The sequence below is a fragment of the Homo sapiens genome, chromosome 22 (assembly GCF_000001405.40).
Source record: "Homo sapiens chromosome 22, GRCh38.p14 Primary Assembly".
Classification (NCBI taxonomy): Eukaryota; Metazoa; Chordata; class Mammalia; order Primates; family Hominidae; genus Homo; species Homo sapiens.
The window spans coordinates 23,190,914-23,208,020 of NC_000022.11; the positions used below are offsets into that span (position 1 = coordinate 23,190,914).

General features: G+C 49.5%; 1 protein-coding gene across 2 annotated transcripts in view, besides 5 other annotated features; it reads left to right on the plus strand.

Moving 5' to 3' along the window:
* Positions 1–17,107, plus strand: part of BCR (BCR activator of RhoGEF and GTPase) — a 137,529-nt gene that overhangs the window by 10,405 nt on the left and 110,017 nt on the right. The window lies entirely within an intron of this gene.
* Positions 1,425–1,926: an enhancer, noted in NCBI's record as "H3K4me1 hESC enhancer chr22:23534525-23535026 (GRCh37/hg19 assembly coordinates)". NCBI's record gives its function as "activates a minimal SCP1, AML or CMV promoter by ChIP-STARR-seq in primed H9 embryonic stem cells {active_cell/tissue: H9 hESC(primed)}" and the evidence as "EXISTENCE:reporter gene assay evidence [ECO:0000049][PMID:30033119]".
* Positions 1,927–2,426: an enhancer, noted in NCBI's record as "H3K4me1 hESC enhancer chr22:23535027-23535526 (GRCh37/hg19 assembly coordinates)". NCBI's record gives its function as "activates a minimal SCP1, AML or CMV promoter by ChIP-STARR-seq in primed H9 embryonic stem cells {active_cell/tissue: H9 hESC(primed)}" and the evidence as "EXISTENCE:reporter gene assay evidence [ECO:0000049][PMID:30033119]".
* Positions 3,631–4,131: an enhancer, noted in NCBI's record as "H3K4me1 hESC enhancer chr22:23536731-23537231 (GRCh37/hg19 assembly coordinates)". NCBI's record gives its function as "activates a minimal SCP1, AML or CMV promoter by ChIP-STARR-seq in naive H9 embryonic stem cells {active_cell/tissue: H9 hESC(naive)}" and the evidence as "EXISTENCE:reporter gene assay evidence [ECO:0000049][PMID:30033119]".
* Positions 8,059–9,000: an enhancer, noted in NCBI's record as "H3K4me1 hESC enhancer chr22:23541159-23542100 (GRCh37/hg19 assembly coordinates)". NCBI's record gives its function as "activates a minimal SCP1, AML or CMV promoter by ChIP-STARR-seq in naive H9 embryonic stem cells {active_cell/tissue: H9 hESC(naive)}" and the evidence as "EXISTENCE:reporter gene assay evidence [ECO:0000049][PMID:30033119]".
* Positions 10,428–10,604: a silencer, noted in NCBI's record as "fragment chr22:23543528-23543704 (GRCh37/hg19 assembly coordinates)". NCBI's record gives its function as "represses an EF-1alpha promoter that drives an FKBP-Casp9 reporter gene in an ReSE screen in both phorbol 12-myristate 13-acetate-treated (for megakaryocytic differentiation) and untreated K562 erythroleukemia cells {active_cell/tissue: K562 | K562(+PMA)}" and the evidence as "EXISTENCE:reporter gene assay evidence [ECO:0000049][PMID:32094911]".

Genomic DNA, 17,107 nt, shown 5'->3' on the forward strand with positions numbered 1-17,107 from the left:
TCTTTAAATTTAAAATTTATTACCTTTTTTTTTAATAGATAAAGGGTCTCGCTCTGTTGCCCAGGCTGGAGTATAGTGGCATGATCATAGCTCACTGTAGCCACAAACTCTCGGGCTCAAGCGATCCTCTCTCCTCAGCCTCCTGAATACCTGGTACTACAGGCGCGTGCCACCATGCCTGGCTAATTTTTAATTTTTGTTGAGACAGGGTCTTGCTTTGTTGCCCAGGCTGGTCTCAAACTCCTGGCCTCAAACGATCCTTCCCGCCTCGGCCTCCCGAAGTGCTGGGAATAATTATAGATGTGAGTTACTGCACACAGCCTGAATGTATTATTAACACAACTTTTTCCATCTCTTTTCTGTTTATCTTGGTTTATGTCTCCCTTATTAAAAACGAAGGCAACCACCTCTCCCTATCCAATCGCTCAAAGGTATTTATTGAGCATCTACTTTGTGCCTGGCACTATCTTCATGGAAATCCTTTCTTCCTTATTCATTGATTTATGGAAAGGCTGATCTCCAAGGGCCTTGTCTTTAAAACAACAACAAACAAACAAAACCTTTCTAATGTCAAAGCATTTTCCCCTGCGTATCTTTCTTTAACGGTATATTTGCAGCTGTTTCCTGTTAATCCTTTGTCTATCTGGCTTCCTTTTTAGGGTGATGGGATCCTTAAGCACAGAGTATGCCCTGCTGTAGTGTCCTGCAGGATGGGCCACACTCTGGCCCTTTAACAGTGTTTGATGTGACGATGCACCTGAGCCCATGGAGGTCTGTGTCTCGGGCCCCGTGGGTGTTTGCAGATTGAAGATGGAATGATACACACCATCTCTGAGATTTTTATTTGCTCAGACCTTCCCCTGTTCTGGCCCAACCCCGCTTAATCATGTCTAATAAGTGGTGGTGGGTTTTTGGGGGCCTAGTGATACAGGTGGCCCGGCGATGAAACGTTGGCTTTGGAGATTATCCCGCTGGTTCTGTTTCCTTCTTTGCTGGTGATTGGTACTCCCTGGCTCACCCTTAGAGAACTTCCCGAATCCTCAGACTGGGGCCTGCTAATTAGCTGTCTTGGGTTCTAGCTCTCACTGCCACGACTTTGCAAAATGACTATAGATGTGGATGGTGGCTGGTGCCCATGGGCAGAGCAATCAGCACATTCATAGACCCACCTTCCTGGGGCTGGGGTGTGAAGACCGGACACCCCACTGAAGTAGTAAATATGACTTTCATGGAGGCTGCTTCATGGGCCCTCGAAAGTTTCTTGTAAAGTGGCTGGAGCAGGATTATAATTATACTCCCTCCACTGATTGAGTCTGAGGGGGTATGAGACACTCTGGCCTGGAGTAACCTGCCCAAGGTCAAGTGGTTGGTGGAGGGGCTGGCGCTGCCTCTCTCCTCAGACTGAGTGGTTGTGTTAATCACATGAGAGCAGACACAGAATGACTTTGCGGAGGTGGAGGAGACCTGGATCATTTGCTCAGCAAACCGGTTTTGGGCACCTGCTGTGTTGGGCACAGATGGTGCTCAGTACAGTCAGGCAGGCCTTCCAGCAGGTCGGCTTTGGTCTGGTGGGAAGACAGCCTCATTAACCTAAGTGCCATGATAGAAATCAACTGACCCCAGCCTTTAGTCTGGGTCTTGAAGGTGTCAGCTGTCTAGGAACATGTTTCCCCTCTCATTTTGCAAATCTCCAAGATAGGGATTTCCTGACTCTTGATAGCTCCTTCTGGGACACTTTGGTAAGGCTTCTCCAGCAAGTTGTGTGGCAAGGGGCCCAAGAAGACAGAACTGTTGGAAGGGCGCTGCCCATCCATCTGCTTTTCCCACCAACAGTCAAGGGCTGTGAATGCTGACCTGCTGCTGACAGTGGTCTGTTGTGCAGGTTCTGGGAGGGGCAGAGGGACGAGGTCTGGCTGGGAAGATGTAGCGGAGATACACAGAGGTAGCCGGCTGTGTGTGCACAGGGCCAGGTGCAGGGCCCAGAGAGCCAGGTGAGTGACCAGGGAGCACTGGGAAGGAACCATCTCCAGGCAAAGCCAGGACACAGCCAAGGGGACCCCAGAAGAAGAGAGGGGAGCCTTGTGCAGCAGCCACAGAGAGAGAGAGCCAGGCAGAGCAAGGAATTGAGCAGCCCGGGGAGATCCTCTACTCAAGTGCCACTGTTGGCTCAAGAAGAGTTTTTGAAGATTCACTTCACTTTAAAGGCCTGACATGCTTCCGTGTTTAAAGTGCTGCTGGGGTCAGTTTGTATGCCCGTAGAGTAGGGAGAGATTTTCTGCACATGACGAGGTATTGATGAGCATTCGAAGCAACCTACAGGCAACATATGTTGACAGTGCAGACTTTGAAGGGAAAAGATCTGGACTTGCCCAGAGACCTGGCACTTGCCACTGTGTGGTCTTGCACAGGGACTTAATTCTCCCTTGACTTCTGTCAGCTGGAGAGGGTGACCCTTCCCCTTGGGGGCTTCGTGGGAGTAGCGGGTGCAGACCATCTGGCCTCCTGTCTGGTCTCATAGAGTCTCCTGTTCATGTATCTGATGTCAGTTGATTGAACATCACTTAGCAAAAAATCTTAAGAAGAAATGCATAATTTAGTATGGACATTTCACTCACTTGGCTCAGCCATTGTATAACCAGTATGAGCTCCGGGGGGACCCTGGGGTGTGTCAGGGCCCTCATTCTCCTCCTATAATCCTCCTGGGCTGAGTGGAGTTCTTACATTTTGAAGGTTATGCAATGGACTGCATGTTTGGATCCATCTGCAAATTCCCCTTTTGGGGAGAGGCTGAGTTGCCCTGTGCTTGAGGGAGCTGGGCAGATGGTACTTTGTGTAGCCTGCTGCATTTTGCAGAATGTCTTCTCTCACAGGGGTCCCTGTGGAGGAGTGACAGGAACCCTCTTAGCTGAGTGTTGGGAGGTTTTAGGTGGAGGGCTCAGGTCACCCGCAGGGGTCATTTGACTCCTACCTTATCTGGGTAGATAGGATCATCTTTGTCCCACAGTCCTTCCCAGTATTGTGAAGTGATGCATTGGCGTGAGCCCAGGGGTGCCAAGGGTGGGCTGGCAATGCCCACATCCAGTTCTCTGTCCCTGAGGCACGGAGGTGGTTGTGCTGGGCTCAGAGCCGCCGTCTGACTGGTTGGAAGCCCTGCTCTGATTTTGTGAATCACCCTAGTTAAGTGGAAGCTCAGCGTAGCCTGTTCCCTCTGTGGGGGTGTGCAGAAGCACTGTTTATTTTTGCCCACATCTTAGAGTGATAAATGGAACTCATTTATGAATTTTGACTTCCAAAAGCTTTCCACTTTCTCCCTTAGGAACATGGATAAAAATTGTCCACATTTGTTTTTGGAGACATGGATTGTTACCTGAAACCTACTTTTCAGATGGTCTTGATGTGAAAACTGTTGCCAGGCTGGGCGTGGTGGCTCATGCTTGTAATTCCAGCATCTTGGGAGGCTGAGGTGGGTGGGTCTCCATTTTTTTTTTCTTTTTTTTTTTCTTTCTTTTTTCTTTGAGATGGGGTCTCGCTCTGTCGCCCAGGCTGGAGTGCAGTGGAGCAATCTCGGCTCACTGCAAACTCCGCCTCCCAGGTTCACGCCATTCTCCTGCCTCAGCCTCCCGAGTAGCTGGAACTGCAGGCGCCTGCCACAACGCCCAGCTAATTTTTTTTGTATTTTTAGTAGAGACGGGGTTTCACCGTGTTAGCCAGGATGGTCTCGATCTCCTGACCTCGTGATCCACCCACCTCGGCCTCCCAAAGTGCTGGGATTACAGGCATGAGCCACTGTGCCCGGCCGGGTGGATCTCTTATTCCCAGGAATTTGAGATCAGCCTGGGCAACATAGCAAGACCCCATCTCTACAAAAAATTTAAAAGTGAGCTGGGCATGGTGGCATGTGCCCGTAATCTCAGCTCTTCTGGGGGCTGAGGCGATAGGATGGCTTGAGCCCAGGAATTCAGGGCTGGAGCAAACTATGATTGCACCACTGCACTCCATCCAGCCTGGGCGACAGAGCAAGCAAGACCCTATCTCTAAAAAGGAAATAAATAAATACACATAAAAACCATTGCTTTTTTTTGGCCGGGAGTGGTGGCTCATGCCTGTAATCCCAACACTTTGGGAGGCCGAGGCAGGCAGAACATCTGAGGTCAGGAGTTCAAGACCAGCCTGGCCAACATGGTGAAATGTCGTCTCTACCAAAAATACAAAAATGAGCTGAGCAGGCTGAGAGCAGTGGTTCACGCCTGTAATCCTAGCACTTTGGGAGGCCGAGGCAGGCGGATCACCTGAGGTCGGGAGTTTGAGACCAGCCTGACCAACATGGAGAAACCCCGTCTCTACTAAAAATACAAAATTAGCTGGGCATGGTGGCACATGCCTGTAATCCCAGCTACTTGGGAGGCTGAGGCGGGAAAATCGCTTGAACTCAGGAGGCAGAGGTTGCAATCATCCAAGATCGCGCCATTGCACTTGAGCCTGGGCTACAAGAGCGAAACTCCGTCTCAAAAAAAAAAAAAAAAAAAATATCAGCTGGGCATGTTGGTGCACGCCTGTAATCCCAGCTACTCAAGGAGGCTGTGGCAGGAGAATTGTTTGAACCCGAGAGGCAGGGGTTGCAGTGAGCCAAGATCTTGCCACTGCACTCCAGCCTGGGTGACAGAGCGAGACTGTCTCAAAAAATAAAAACCGGCCGGGCGCGGTGGCTCGCGCCTGTAATCCCAGCACTTTGGGAGGCCGAGGTGGGTGGATCACCTAAGGTCAGGAGTTCAAGACCAGCCTGGCCAACATGGTGACACTCCATCTCTACTAAAAATACAAAAAATTAATTGGGCATTGTGGCAGGCGCCTGTAATCCCAGCTACTCGGGAGGCTGAGGTAGGAGAATGGCTTGAACCCGGGAGGCGGAGGTTGCAGTGAACCGAGATCGTGCCATTGCACTCTGGCCTGGGCAACAAGAGTGAAACTCTCAAAATTAAAAACAAATTAAATAAATAAATAAATACCACTGCTTTTTTAATAACAGGTACAAATTTTAAAGAGAAATAAAAAAACATTGCCATCTTCAAATCTCCACAAAAATGGAAAGACAGGACAGTGCCAGTCAGCCACTTTCTGCAGTCACCATGATCCCTTCTCTCTCCTTCATTTTTAATGTGTGTTTTTTTAAATTGTAGTAAAATACACATACTCTAAAATGTACCATCTCAACCACTTCTCAGTGTGCAGTTTAGTAGTGTTAAGCCTCTAGTGTTTTATAAGTGGCAGAGTTGATGGGAAAACACTGATCTTCAGGAGGGGTTTTTTCAGTGCCAGCGTCCCTCTGGATGTGTAGGCAGATAAGAAGGTGGCTCGGACACAGTCCTTAAATAAGTGCCAGGAGCCAGCAGGCCAGGGTGGGAGCCGGGACAAGCAGGCACCTAAAGTAACGGTAACATAAGGCAGGTGGCGAGACTCTGTGGATGGATCAGTGCCAGGGGCTGTGCGGGAAGGGAAACCTTACATCTGTCCTGTTTCTTAGGGGACGAGGTTGTGGAGGGGAGGGTATTCCAGGCAGGGAATGTGGGCAAGAACTCGGAGGCTTGAAGCATTCAGTATAGTCGTCTCTCGATATCCGCAGGAAATTGGTTCCAGGATTCCCTTGGGCAGCAGTCCCCAGCCTCCTTTTTGACACCAGTGACCAGTTTCATGGAAGAAATTTTTCCACAGACTGGGGGTTAGGGGATGGTTTCAGGATGGGACTGTTAACAGCTCAGATCATCAGGTATTAGATTCTCATGAGGAGCCTGCACAGCCTAGATCCCTCGCATACATAAGCCACAATAGGGCTTCTGCTCCTATGAGAATCTAATACTGCTGCCGGCCTGACAGGAGGTAGAGCTTAGGCAGTAATGGAGCAATGAGGAGCAGCTGTAAATACAGATGAAGCGTCACTCTCCGCCTACCGCTCACCTCCAGCTCTGCGGCCCAGTTCCTAACAGGCCACGGACTGATACCAGTTCATGGCCCGGGGGTTGGGGACCCCTGCCCTTGGGGATCCCAGAATCCTTGGATGCTCAAGTCCTTATGTAAAATGCCATAGCTAGCTTTTGCATATAACCTATACACATCTTCCTGTACACTTTAAATCATCTTGAGATTACTTATAATACAGTCATGCACCACATAACGACATTTTGGTTATTGATGGTGGTCCCATAAGATTATAATACTGTGTTTTTACTGTACCTTTTCTACATTTGGTATGTTTAGAAACAGATACCACTGTGTCACAATTGCTTACGGTATTCAGTACGGTAACATGCTGCACAGGTTTGTAGCCTAGGAGCAATAGGCTGTGCCACGTAGCCTAGGTGTGTAGTAGGCTCTGTCGTGTAGGTTTGTGTAGGTACACTCTATGATGTTTGCATGAAGATGACATTGCCTAATGATGCATTTCTCAACATATCCCCTTTTAAGCAAGGTATGGCTTTATCTAATAAAATATAAATGCTTTGTAAATAGTTGTTACAGTGTATTGTTATTACATTTATATTATTCTTATTGTTGGTTATTTCTTTCCAAATAGTTTCATTCTGAGGTTGCTTGAATCTGCAGATGTGGAACTTGAGGCTGTGGAGGGCCAACTGTATGCTCAGAAAGTAGCAGGCTCTGGTTGGAGAGTTGGTATAAAATGTGGACAACAGGGAAGGTGAGGGATAGGAGAGTTGGGGTCATCCTATGTGGGTCTCCGAAGCCAGGCTGAGGGTGTTGTGCTTTCTTTGAGGATGATAGGGAGCCACTGAAGGTTGTTAAGCTGGAGAGGGGATGCCTTTGGAGCTTTGCCTTGGGAAGGTGAGTTTGGCAAAAGTGTGTGTGATGGTCCAGTGGGAGTCAGGTACCTGGAGCTGTTGTCTTGAGGGGCGGTGGGGAGGAATGGGGAGGGATGGAGAGGACAAGGAATATGAGCTGATTCTGGGGAGGGGGTGACAGAAAGGGAGGCTGTATGAGCCTGGGGATGGTGAGCGCTGTGCTGGCAGGTTTCAGGGCCTTTCGGAGAGAGGACCAGGCCAGGAATGAAGAGGAAGGACAGAAGCGTGGGTTGCGGAGGGTGTGTGGAGTGGAGGGCCGGAGCAGGCCCTTGGGCCTTGCGTCCTGGGGGAGGTCACGTGAGAGAAAGAAGTGGGGGAGTTTATGTTGCGGAAAGGCTAAAAGGAAGTGACTGTTAGGAGGTTATGGGATAAAGGACAGAAGCCAGGCTCCAAGTGAGTATAGGAGAGACCAGAGCACTAAATTGGACCACAGTGTCCAGCATTCTGGCAGCAGGGAGGAGGTGGGTGGGGATTCAGGATTAGGGTCCGAGTGCTCCCCGAGTGTCCACCGTCGGCCTGCTCTGTTCCGGGGCAGGGCCACATCTTTGTCCGTGTGCCGAGGAGGGGACTGGTGGGCTGGAGTCCCAGGGGGAGATTATTCCAAGTAGGGGCTCCAGAAAGGTGAGTGATGTGTTTGGGTCTATGGGAAGGTTGGTGACCCCCAAAGAGAGGTGGCTGGGTTACTGCTGAACAGCTATCAGGGTGATATGGCTTTGCAGGGGTCCAGTCCATGGGCCTGACATGTTGTAGCTATGCTTTGAAGGCATTTTCCTGGTGGGAGGCCACCGCAGGTAAGGGGAGTGAAAGGGTGGCTGTGGCGGCTGTTCCCTGTGGCTGGTGGCCATGGATAAGTGAAGAGGAACGTGATGCTGGGCACCATGCTGGTGGTGCCTGGGGCAGAGCCTGGCCTTGTGGGGCTGTGGAGCAGGGTGAGGATCTGGGATCTAGGACTGCTATGCACCGGGCCGAATCGTGATACCCAAGGGAGGCATCTTGTCGTGGAGCAGTTGCATGGGCCCGCCCTTGTTCCCTGGAGCAGCTGGTGAGGTACTGTTAGAATTTGGCCCTAACAGGACTGGGCACAGTAGGTCACACCTGTAATCCCAGCACTTTGGGAGGCCGAGGCTGGTGTATCACCTGAGGTCAGGAGTTCAAGACCAGGCTGGCCAACATGGCGAAACCCGGTCTCTATTACAAATACACAAAAATTAGCTGGACGTGGGGGTGCACACCTGTGATCCCAGCTACTCAGGAGGCTGAGGCTAAAGAATCACTTGAACCTGGGAGGCAGAGGTTGCAGTAAGCCAAGATCACACCATTGCACGCCAGCCAAGGCGACAAGAACGAAACTCCGTCTCAAAAAAAAAAAAAAGAATTTGGCCCTAACAAATGCAGGTTGTGATTATTAACATAAGTCTGGTTTCCTCTCTCATGGCATTTCTTTAGTGGCCAGATGGTGTGAGTGGCTCCAGAAGACTCTTCTCTTCTCTGTGCAAGAGCCAGGAAGGCTCTAGAAAGGAATGTCTGAGGAAGCATCGGAGACTGGGTCCCGCCATGCCTGTGTCATCTCCTGGCTTCCCCGGCCCTTGTGAGCCCCGCGGTTGCTTATTTATCCTGCTAAGGCCACAGTCTCAGGTTCCAGAAACTCTGGCAAGGAAGTCTGGGAAGGTTGATGGGGATGGGCTGGCGGGCTGGGAGAGGTGCTTTGTTTTCACTCCTCAGGAAGCTTGAGGCTTCTTGTGGAAGCGTCTGCTGCTTTGGGCTGGGCAGCTGCGCCCCCAGAAAGCCAGCTAGGGGTCTGCCGCCTAATACCATGGGTGGAAACTATTGCAGTCAGCTGTTGGGATGCAGGGGAAGGTATTGGTAGGACTGGGGTGCCCTGTCTCCTTTGTCCCCATGAGTGCAGGGGATAGATCTGAAAGGAGAGGGGAAAATGGATGTTTTCTTCTTTGTCTCTCCTTTCTCCCTGCTTTCAAGTCTGTGAATTAATTGGAGTCATTCCCAAGGGAGGAGGGTCACTTTATTGAATTTTAAGACAAGGCGGGGCCAGGCGCGATGGCTCACGCCTGTAATCCCAGCACTTTGGGAGGCCAAGGCGGGCAGATCATGAGGTCAAGAGACCATCCTGGCTAACACAGTGAAACCCCGTCTCTACTAAAAATACAAAAAAAAAATTAGCCGGGCGTGGTGGCGGGCGCCTGTAGTCCCAGCCACTCAGGAGGCTGAGGCATGAGAATGGCATGAACTCGGGAGGCAGAGCTTGCAGTGAGCCAAGATCCACCACTGCACTCCAGCCTGGGTGACAGAGCAAGACTGCGTCTCAAAAAAAAAAAAAAAGCAAGACAAGGCATATGACAGGGCATGATACTGACGAGACCTTGGACATCAAAGGCTGGAGCAGGACTTCCTCCTAGGGAACATCCTCAGATATGTAGATGTCACCGTGTGGGCTCAGACATCCAGGGTGGACCAGAGCCGGTGGCTTAGGTCTGGTGGTCTGTCCCTGACTGCACTTTTTTCAGAGCTGTTTTGGTTTGAAGCTCAAAGCGGGCTTTTTATTTATTTATTTAGAGACAGGGTCTTACTCCGCTGCCCAGGCTGGTGCAGTGGCACACTCACAACTCACTGCAGCCTCAACCTCCTGGGCTCAAACAGTCCCCTCATCTCAGCATCTCAAGTAGCTGGGACTACAGGCATGCACCACCATCCCCCCAGGTAATTTTTAAATTTTTTGTAGAGACAAGGTTTCACTATGTTGCCCAGGCTACAAGAGGACTTTAACTTTTTTTTAATTAAAAAAAAATTTTTTTTGAAACAAGGTCTCACTCTGTCGCCCAGGCTGGAGTGCAGTGGTGCGATCATGGCTCACCGCAGCCTTGACCTCTCCAGGCTCAGGCGATTCTCCCACCTCAGCCTTCTGAGTAGCTGGGACGGCAGGCACATGCCACCATGCCCAGCTAATTTTTGTATTTTTTTGTAGAGATGAGGTGTCTTCATGTTGCCCGTGCCAGTCTCAAACTCCTGGGCTCAAGCGATCCACCCGCCTTGGCCTCCCAAAGTGCTGGGACTCCAGGCATGAGCCACCATGCCTGGCCAAGGGGGCTTTTCAAAGGCTGGGCTGGGCTGTTCATTTGGAAAAAAGGTTGGGGATGTTTTCACTTCACCAGGACTTCTGCCAGTCAGCAGGCTGGTACATTAGGAGCCCAAGTTTTGCCTGGTGCTGGTGGACGGGTCTAGGCCTGAGAAGCCGTAGTCTCCTAGTGCTTGGTGCTGCTAAGCCCAAAGAACAGAGTGGTTACAGGAAATGGAACATTTAGTCTGGCAGAGGCCAAGGGCAGCAGGTCCCTACTCTGGCTGCCCATGTAGTTAAAAAGTCACACACGTGCGCAGCTGGTCTGATTAATGAGTTTGTTTTTTGATGTCACAGTTTCTGGGCACAGCAGAGCTGGCTCCTCTGCTTGGGGTCTCCTCAGGCTGCAGTTGAGGTGTTGGCCGGGGCTGCATTCCCTGCTGGGGCTTGGGGTTCTCTTCTAAGCTCACCTGGGTTGCTGGCAGTGCTTACCTCCTGGCAGTTGTAGGACTGAGTCCCCATTTCCTTGCTGGCATTGGCTGGAGGCCCCTTCTAGAGCCCACCCTGTTCATAGGCAGTTCACACACAGCTGTTTGCTTTTCTCTTCTCAGTGAATCTGGTTTTTTTGTTTTTTCGTTTTTGAGACGGAGTCTTGCTCTGTTCCCCAGGCTGGAGTGCAGTGGGGCGATCTTGGCTCACTGCAAGCTCCGCCTCCTGGGTTCATGCCATTCTCCTGCCTCCGCCTCCTGAGTAGCTGGGACTACAGGCACCCACCACCATGCCCGGCTAATTTTTTGTATTTTTAGTAGAGGTGGTTTCACCATGTTAGCCAGGATGGTCTCGATCTCCTGACCTTGTGATCCGCCCTCCTCGGCCTCCCAAAGTGCTGGGATTACAGGTGTGAGCCACCGCGCCCGGCCAAGTCTGGGTTTTTTGAAAAGCTCCCTGGGTGACTTGACTCTAGCCCTCAGGGTTCAGACCCTTCGGTTTCTGGGAGTCCGTGGACATTGGCTGCAGGTTTTGAAAGGCTGGCATCTCAAGAGGGGAGCAGATGAAGAGTCATGGGGAAGGTTCCTGTGCAGTATGAGGAAGGTTTAATTTTCTTGCCAACTTTTGAGATAATTATGTGTAAATCTTTTTTATATAGTTAAGATGTTGCTGTGTAGTTGGGTGTCCGGCCTTAGTTAATGTGAACGTTTCCATGTATTAGTAAATCTTGTGTAAATATTATTTTTAAGGGCCATATTATTACTTTGTAGTGGAGTTATGGTTTAATTTATCTAATTTTAATGAATTTTTGTTGGACATTTCGAGTGGTTCTTTATGCAGCTGGTTAGTATAATGTTTCAGTGAACTTCTCTCTCTTTTTTTAAATAGCTTCACTGAGGTAATTCATGTACCATACAATTCAACCCTTTAAAGCAGCCAATTTAATGGGTTTTGGTATATTACATTATTACTTTTTAAAAATTATGGTGAAATATATATACAAATTTGACATTTTAACCACTAAAAATTAAAATTATGGTAAAATAACATAAAATTTACCATTTTTAGCCGCACAGCTAAATGGTGTTAAGTATATTCCTGTCATGCACCCATCACTATCATCCATCTCCAGAACTCTTTCCACCTTGCAAAACTGAAAATCTGTACTCATTTCCACCCATTAAAGAACAGTGCTTCTTCCCCCACGCCCAGTCCCTGTAACCACCATTCTACTTTCTATCTCTAGGAATCTGACGACTCTAGAAACTTTATTTAAGTGGAATCATGCAGTATTTGTCTTTTTGTGACTTATTTCACATCATGTCCTCAAAGTTCATCTGTGTTTTACTGTGTTTCAGAACCCCTTCCTTTTTAAGCTTGAGTAATAATTCAATTGTTTGTGTGTGTGTGTGTGTGTGTGTGTGTATATATATATATATTTAATCTATCATTCATTGATGGGCACTTGGGTCATTTTAACCATTTTTAAATGTACAGTTCAGTGGCATTAATTACATTCAGTGAATTTTTTTGTGGGGTTTTTTTTTTGTTTGTTTTTGAAACAGGATCTCGCTCTGCCATCTCACTCTGCATCTGCACTGGTGCAGTAAGAGCTCACTGCAGCCTTGACCTCCTGTGATCCTCCCACCTCAGCCTCCTGAGTAGCTGGGACTACAGATGCACATCACTACACTCATCTGTCGTTTTTTTTCTTTTTGTAGAGACAGGGTCTTGCTGTGTTGCCCAGGCTGGTCTTAAACTCCTGGGCTCAAATGATCTGCCCGCCTTGGCTTCTCCTGAAGTGCTGGGATTACAGGTGTGAGCCACCATACTTGGCCAAGTGAATACCTTTTTATATGAGTTTCTGCCCATGATGGGGTGGGCCTCTGTCACTGGATTTACCAGGTCAGAGAGGTGGATGGTCTTAAGACCCTTGATGGCTGCTGCCAGGTCACCTTCCAGAAATCCTGCCCCAGTTTACCCTTGGCTTTATGGTTAACTGCCTGCTCTTTTTTGACTTTTTTCTTGCCTCCTTCTGTTCACAGGATTGTACTGAAGCAGTTCCATCAGGTGCTAAAACGTCTGAGCTGTGTGGGGCCTTACCCTCCAAAAATCCAAAATTGTGATGTGGGATTTTCATTCCAGAGAAGCAGAATCTGAGATTAAGGTTTGCTTTGGGTCAGAGGAGTCTGTGCTAGACTGGGCTCCACGGTAATTCCCGATTCCTTGATGACCCTCGAAACAGTCCAGCTTTGATAGGGAGGAGCCCTGAGCTGGGGTCACACTGGTCCACTCTCTCATTCAGGAAGTTTCCTGAGGCCACTGGCTGTGTGACACTCAGTTCTTTGTCAGCGCTGTGGTTCTTGGTAGGGAAAGAACTTACTGTCCCCTTGTCTGTTGTGAAGTTTGCTAGTTTATTGCTGTTGTGGGCTACTTGTAACTGAATCTGAAAAGCATTTTGGCTTCTCTTCTGTGCATCGTGAGTTAGGTCTGCCAGATAGCATTGTCCAGTTAATTCTGGCTCATGGAGTTCCTGCTTGGCTTTCATTGAAGCTCCAAGGAAGCAGAAGGCCATGGCAGAAAAGGATTTCTACAAAGGGAAAGGGACTTGCATGGCTGCACTTGGCTGGCAGAAGCTGGGCTGGGACGGGAGGACAAACACCTCCCTGTGCAGGCAGTGGGTTCAGATGGTCTTGGCTGGAAGGAGGGCAGATAATGGTGAGACCACGTTTGGAGGGAGGGCAGCATGGTGTCATGGGCTTGGGGAGGAAAGGAGAGGAATGGCCCCTTCTTCAGCACTGACTAGTCGTCCTGCACCGTGGAGGGTGTTCCGTCTTATTTTCCAGCGCTCACAACTAGGAGCCAGCAGTTCAGTTTTAGCCATCCCAGCTCATGGATTATGGAGCTGGGACCCACGCTTGCTCCTCCTCTTGCTCTGCGTTGCCCATCTTAGCTGTGCCCTTGGCCGCCACTCTGACTCCAGTGAATCACGTAGACTCCTTGGGCCTCTGAATTCCTGTCCGTAAATGATGAAGCTGAATGGCAGCATTTTTAAGATCCGTTAGTTTTGTGATTCTAAATAAAATTAAGTCATGTTGCTCTGAGTTCCCAGAAAATTATTTTAAGATCCGTTAGTTTTGTGATTCTAAATAAAATTAAGTCATGTTGCTCTGAGTTCCCAGCAAATTATTTGGAAATCCCTCTTGGTGGATGTCCCAAAGCAGCCTTCCTGTAGGATCCTGGTTGTGTCTGGCTTCCTGCAGTAATGTGGATTGGGGTGGATTGGCCTCTGTGTGCACCCTTAATGGGAACCAGGACACTGCTTTGCTGGCTGATTTGTTGTCCTCCCTTACTGCCCACTGGCCAGTCTACAGGTCACCACCAGGACTGGAACAGATTTCAGAGGCCGTGCAGGTTTCATCTGGGGCAACGTGCCAAAGTGCAGAGCGTGGGCAGCGGGAGGCCCTGCCGTCCGCGTGGATGGGGGAGACGGCAGCATGGGGGTGTCTGCCAGGGCGGAGGTGATGATGTGCAAGCAGGTGGTTGGCAGCAGGAGGCCTGGTAGTGCCAGCTGGTGTCTTGCCAGCCAGAGCACAGCCCCGCTTGGTCAGGAATGCATGTGCTGAGGCCAGCACTGAGATGAGCAGGCATGCGTGTGTGGCCACCCCTATTTCTGTGCTATAGTGGGAGGAGCACATTAGGTACTTTGAGGCCATAATTTACCTTTGTTACAGATGACCAATTCCCCAACAGCCTCCCAGCCTTTTGCAGGCCCCACCTGGGATCAGAAGGCAAGGTATCCTTCCTGCAGGGAAAGCCTGTTAGTCTTTCCTGAGCATTCTTAGTGCCAGTTGGAGTAGGGGCTGTCTTGGTACTGAGCTGGCCGGTGCTGGAGATGGGCTGGTCAGTCTGGAGGGCATAAGGACAGGAAGGATACCGGCACTGAACGTTGTCACTCCTGTGGGGGTACAGATGCCTCAGTGGAAGCCACGCTTTCCTTCAGAATATTGCATTTGGTGGGCCTGTCTCAAGGTGCACTTTGACTCCTGAAGACCCTCCTTCTCCTCCTCTCACGGATCTGCCGGTGTTCCCTCTCTGGAAGGCTTGCAGGAGAGACAGGATCCCTCCCTTTACTGGAACTTTGCACTTGGGTTTGGCTTTGTGCTTTGTAAGGGGATCCCATTCAGCGTCCAGGATCCGAGCCTTGCTCTATTTCTGCAAGGAGCTGGTGGTTGCTGCTCGCCAAGGGGATACTCAGACAGCCAAAGCCTAGGCAGGATCAGAAGCTCAGGCAGCAGAGCCAAGATTTGAACCAATAATTTTTTTTTTTTTTTTTTTACTTTACTCTACAGTATTGGGATTGGCTGAACTTTCCTTAAATGACCAGATAGTAACTAATTTTATGTTTGTGGCTGAGAGGCAAAATCGATGCTACTTTGTGGATACTTACATAACCATTTGGAATGTGAGCATGTGAAACTATAAAGAGCATTCTTAAGGCCTAGGTCACATGAAAACAGGTGGCAGTGGGCTGGATTTGGCCTGTGGGCTGCAGTTTGCCAACCTGTGTTTCACAGCGAGCTGCCTCCAAATGCCTGGTGGTGATGCAATCGATGACAGAGCCAGGTGTGGGCGTCTCACATCTGTGCTCAGGAGCTCACAGGAGCTTCTCTCCTATAGAACCTGTGAGGCAGGTAGGGTAGTCTTCCAAACCCCATGAGGATTCTTTCCTCAGAGAAGTTGCCGGAGGAGGAAAAGCTGGATGAGAGATGGTCACTTGGTTTCTAACTTCCCTTTCTCTTCCCTGTTTCCTGCTGCTTCCCAGGGCTGAATGAATATTCCCTGAAACAAGGCTGGCCATGAGCTAATAATCGTTGAAGCCAAATGATGGGGTAATGGGCATTCATGATGCTGTGCTCTTACTTTTGTATTTGTTTGAAATTTTCCAGGATAAAAAGCTAAGAAAATAGGCTGGGGGCGGTGGCTCACGCCTGTAATCCCAGCACTTTGGGAGGCCAAGGTGGGCGGATCACGAGGTCAGGAGATCGGGACCATCCTGGCTTACACGGTGAAACCATGTCTCTACTAAAAATACAAAAAAAAAGTAGCCGGGCGTGGTGGCGGGCACCTGTAATCCCAGCTACTCGGGAGGCTGAGGCAGGAGAATGGCATGAACCCAGGAGGCGGAGCTTGCAGTGAGCCGAGATTGTGCCACTGCACTCCAGCCTGGGCAACATAGCGAGACTCCGTCTCAAAAAAAAAAAAAAAAGTTAAGAAAATAGTCATTCATTGATTAAAGTTACCAAAAAACCCTTCCACATTGAGAGAACAGGGTGTTAAAACTCAGAAACCTTTTCAAGCCCCAAGATGAGCAAACTTGCTCCTCTTATTTCCTAGCAGCAGATGTTCCTGAGAAAGGGGTAGCTGTGCTTGAGCCATTCCATCATTCATCCAAGCCATCCATCTATCCATCTATTCATCATCAATCCAAGATCCAAACATTTATCTATTTATCTATCCACCCATCCATCCAACCAGTCATACAACCATCCATTTAACTATTCTTTATTCATCATCCATCCAACTAAATCTATTCATCCCTCTGTCATCCATTCATTCCTCCCTCCCTCCCTCCCTCCCTCCCTCCCTCCATCCATCCATCCATCATCTGTCTAACATCCAGCCAACCATCCATCCATTCAACATTGAACTATCCATTATTCACTCATCCATCCAAACATGCATCCATTCAGTCATCACCTATTCATCCATCCATTCATCCTCCAACCATTCATCTGTTCATTTGAAGTTGATGTGACACCTACTGGGGTCCAAGCACAATGCTTAGGCCTTGACTTTGTCCTTGACCTCAAGGAACCCATAGACATATATTAAAAACAGCTGATAAAGGGGTGCTGGGATGGAAGTGAGTACCAACCAGGCACTGAGAAGTGACTGACTCTGCTGGGTTAGCAGAAGGAAGACATTAAGGAGAGGATGGCCCATTAGTTGGATCTTGAATGGACTCAAAAGGAGTATATTGTAATCCCAGTACTTTGGGAGGCTGAGTTGGGAGGGTCGCTTGAGCCCAGGAGTTCAAAACCAGCCTAAGCAACATAGCAAGACGCTGTCTTTACAAAAAATTAAAAATTAGCCAGGTGTTTTGGTGCACACCTGTAGTTCCAGCTACTCTGGAGGCTGAGTTGGGAGGATCGCTTGAGCCCAGGAGTTTGAGGCTACATTGAGCTGTGATTGCACCACTGCACTCTAGCCTGGGCGACAGAGACAGACCCTGTCTCTGAAAAACAAAACAAACAAAAGGAGTATGTTAGGCCATTGTAGGGGAGGAGGAGAGGCCTTCTAAGCAGGGACTGTCACAAAGGAATGAAAGAGCCTAACAGCCTGGCCTGCCACAGGTTTCTCAGACACTTGGGATAGCTGGCATATGGTGTTGGGGTGAGAGACCAGCTAGTGATGATGTGGGGTGGTCTGGTGTTGACCCCCAGAGGCCAGAGAAGACTTCTGCATGGAGGATGGAGTGAGCATGGAGTGTGCGACTGCCATAGGCCCTGCTCAGTGCCCTACACCCCGTGTGTGCCTGTGACACCTGATGGCCTATGCACCCCATACACACAGCTGGACAGCAGACCCCGGCTGCCCTGGCTGAGGCAGGTGTGCCCATCTGTACCCACCTTTG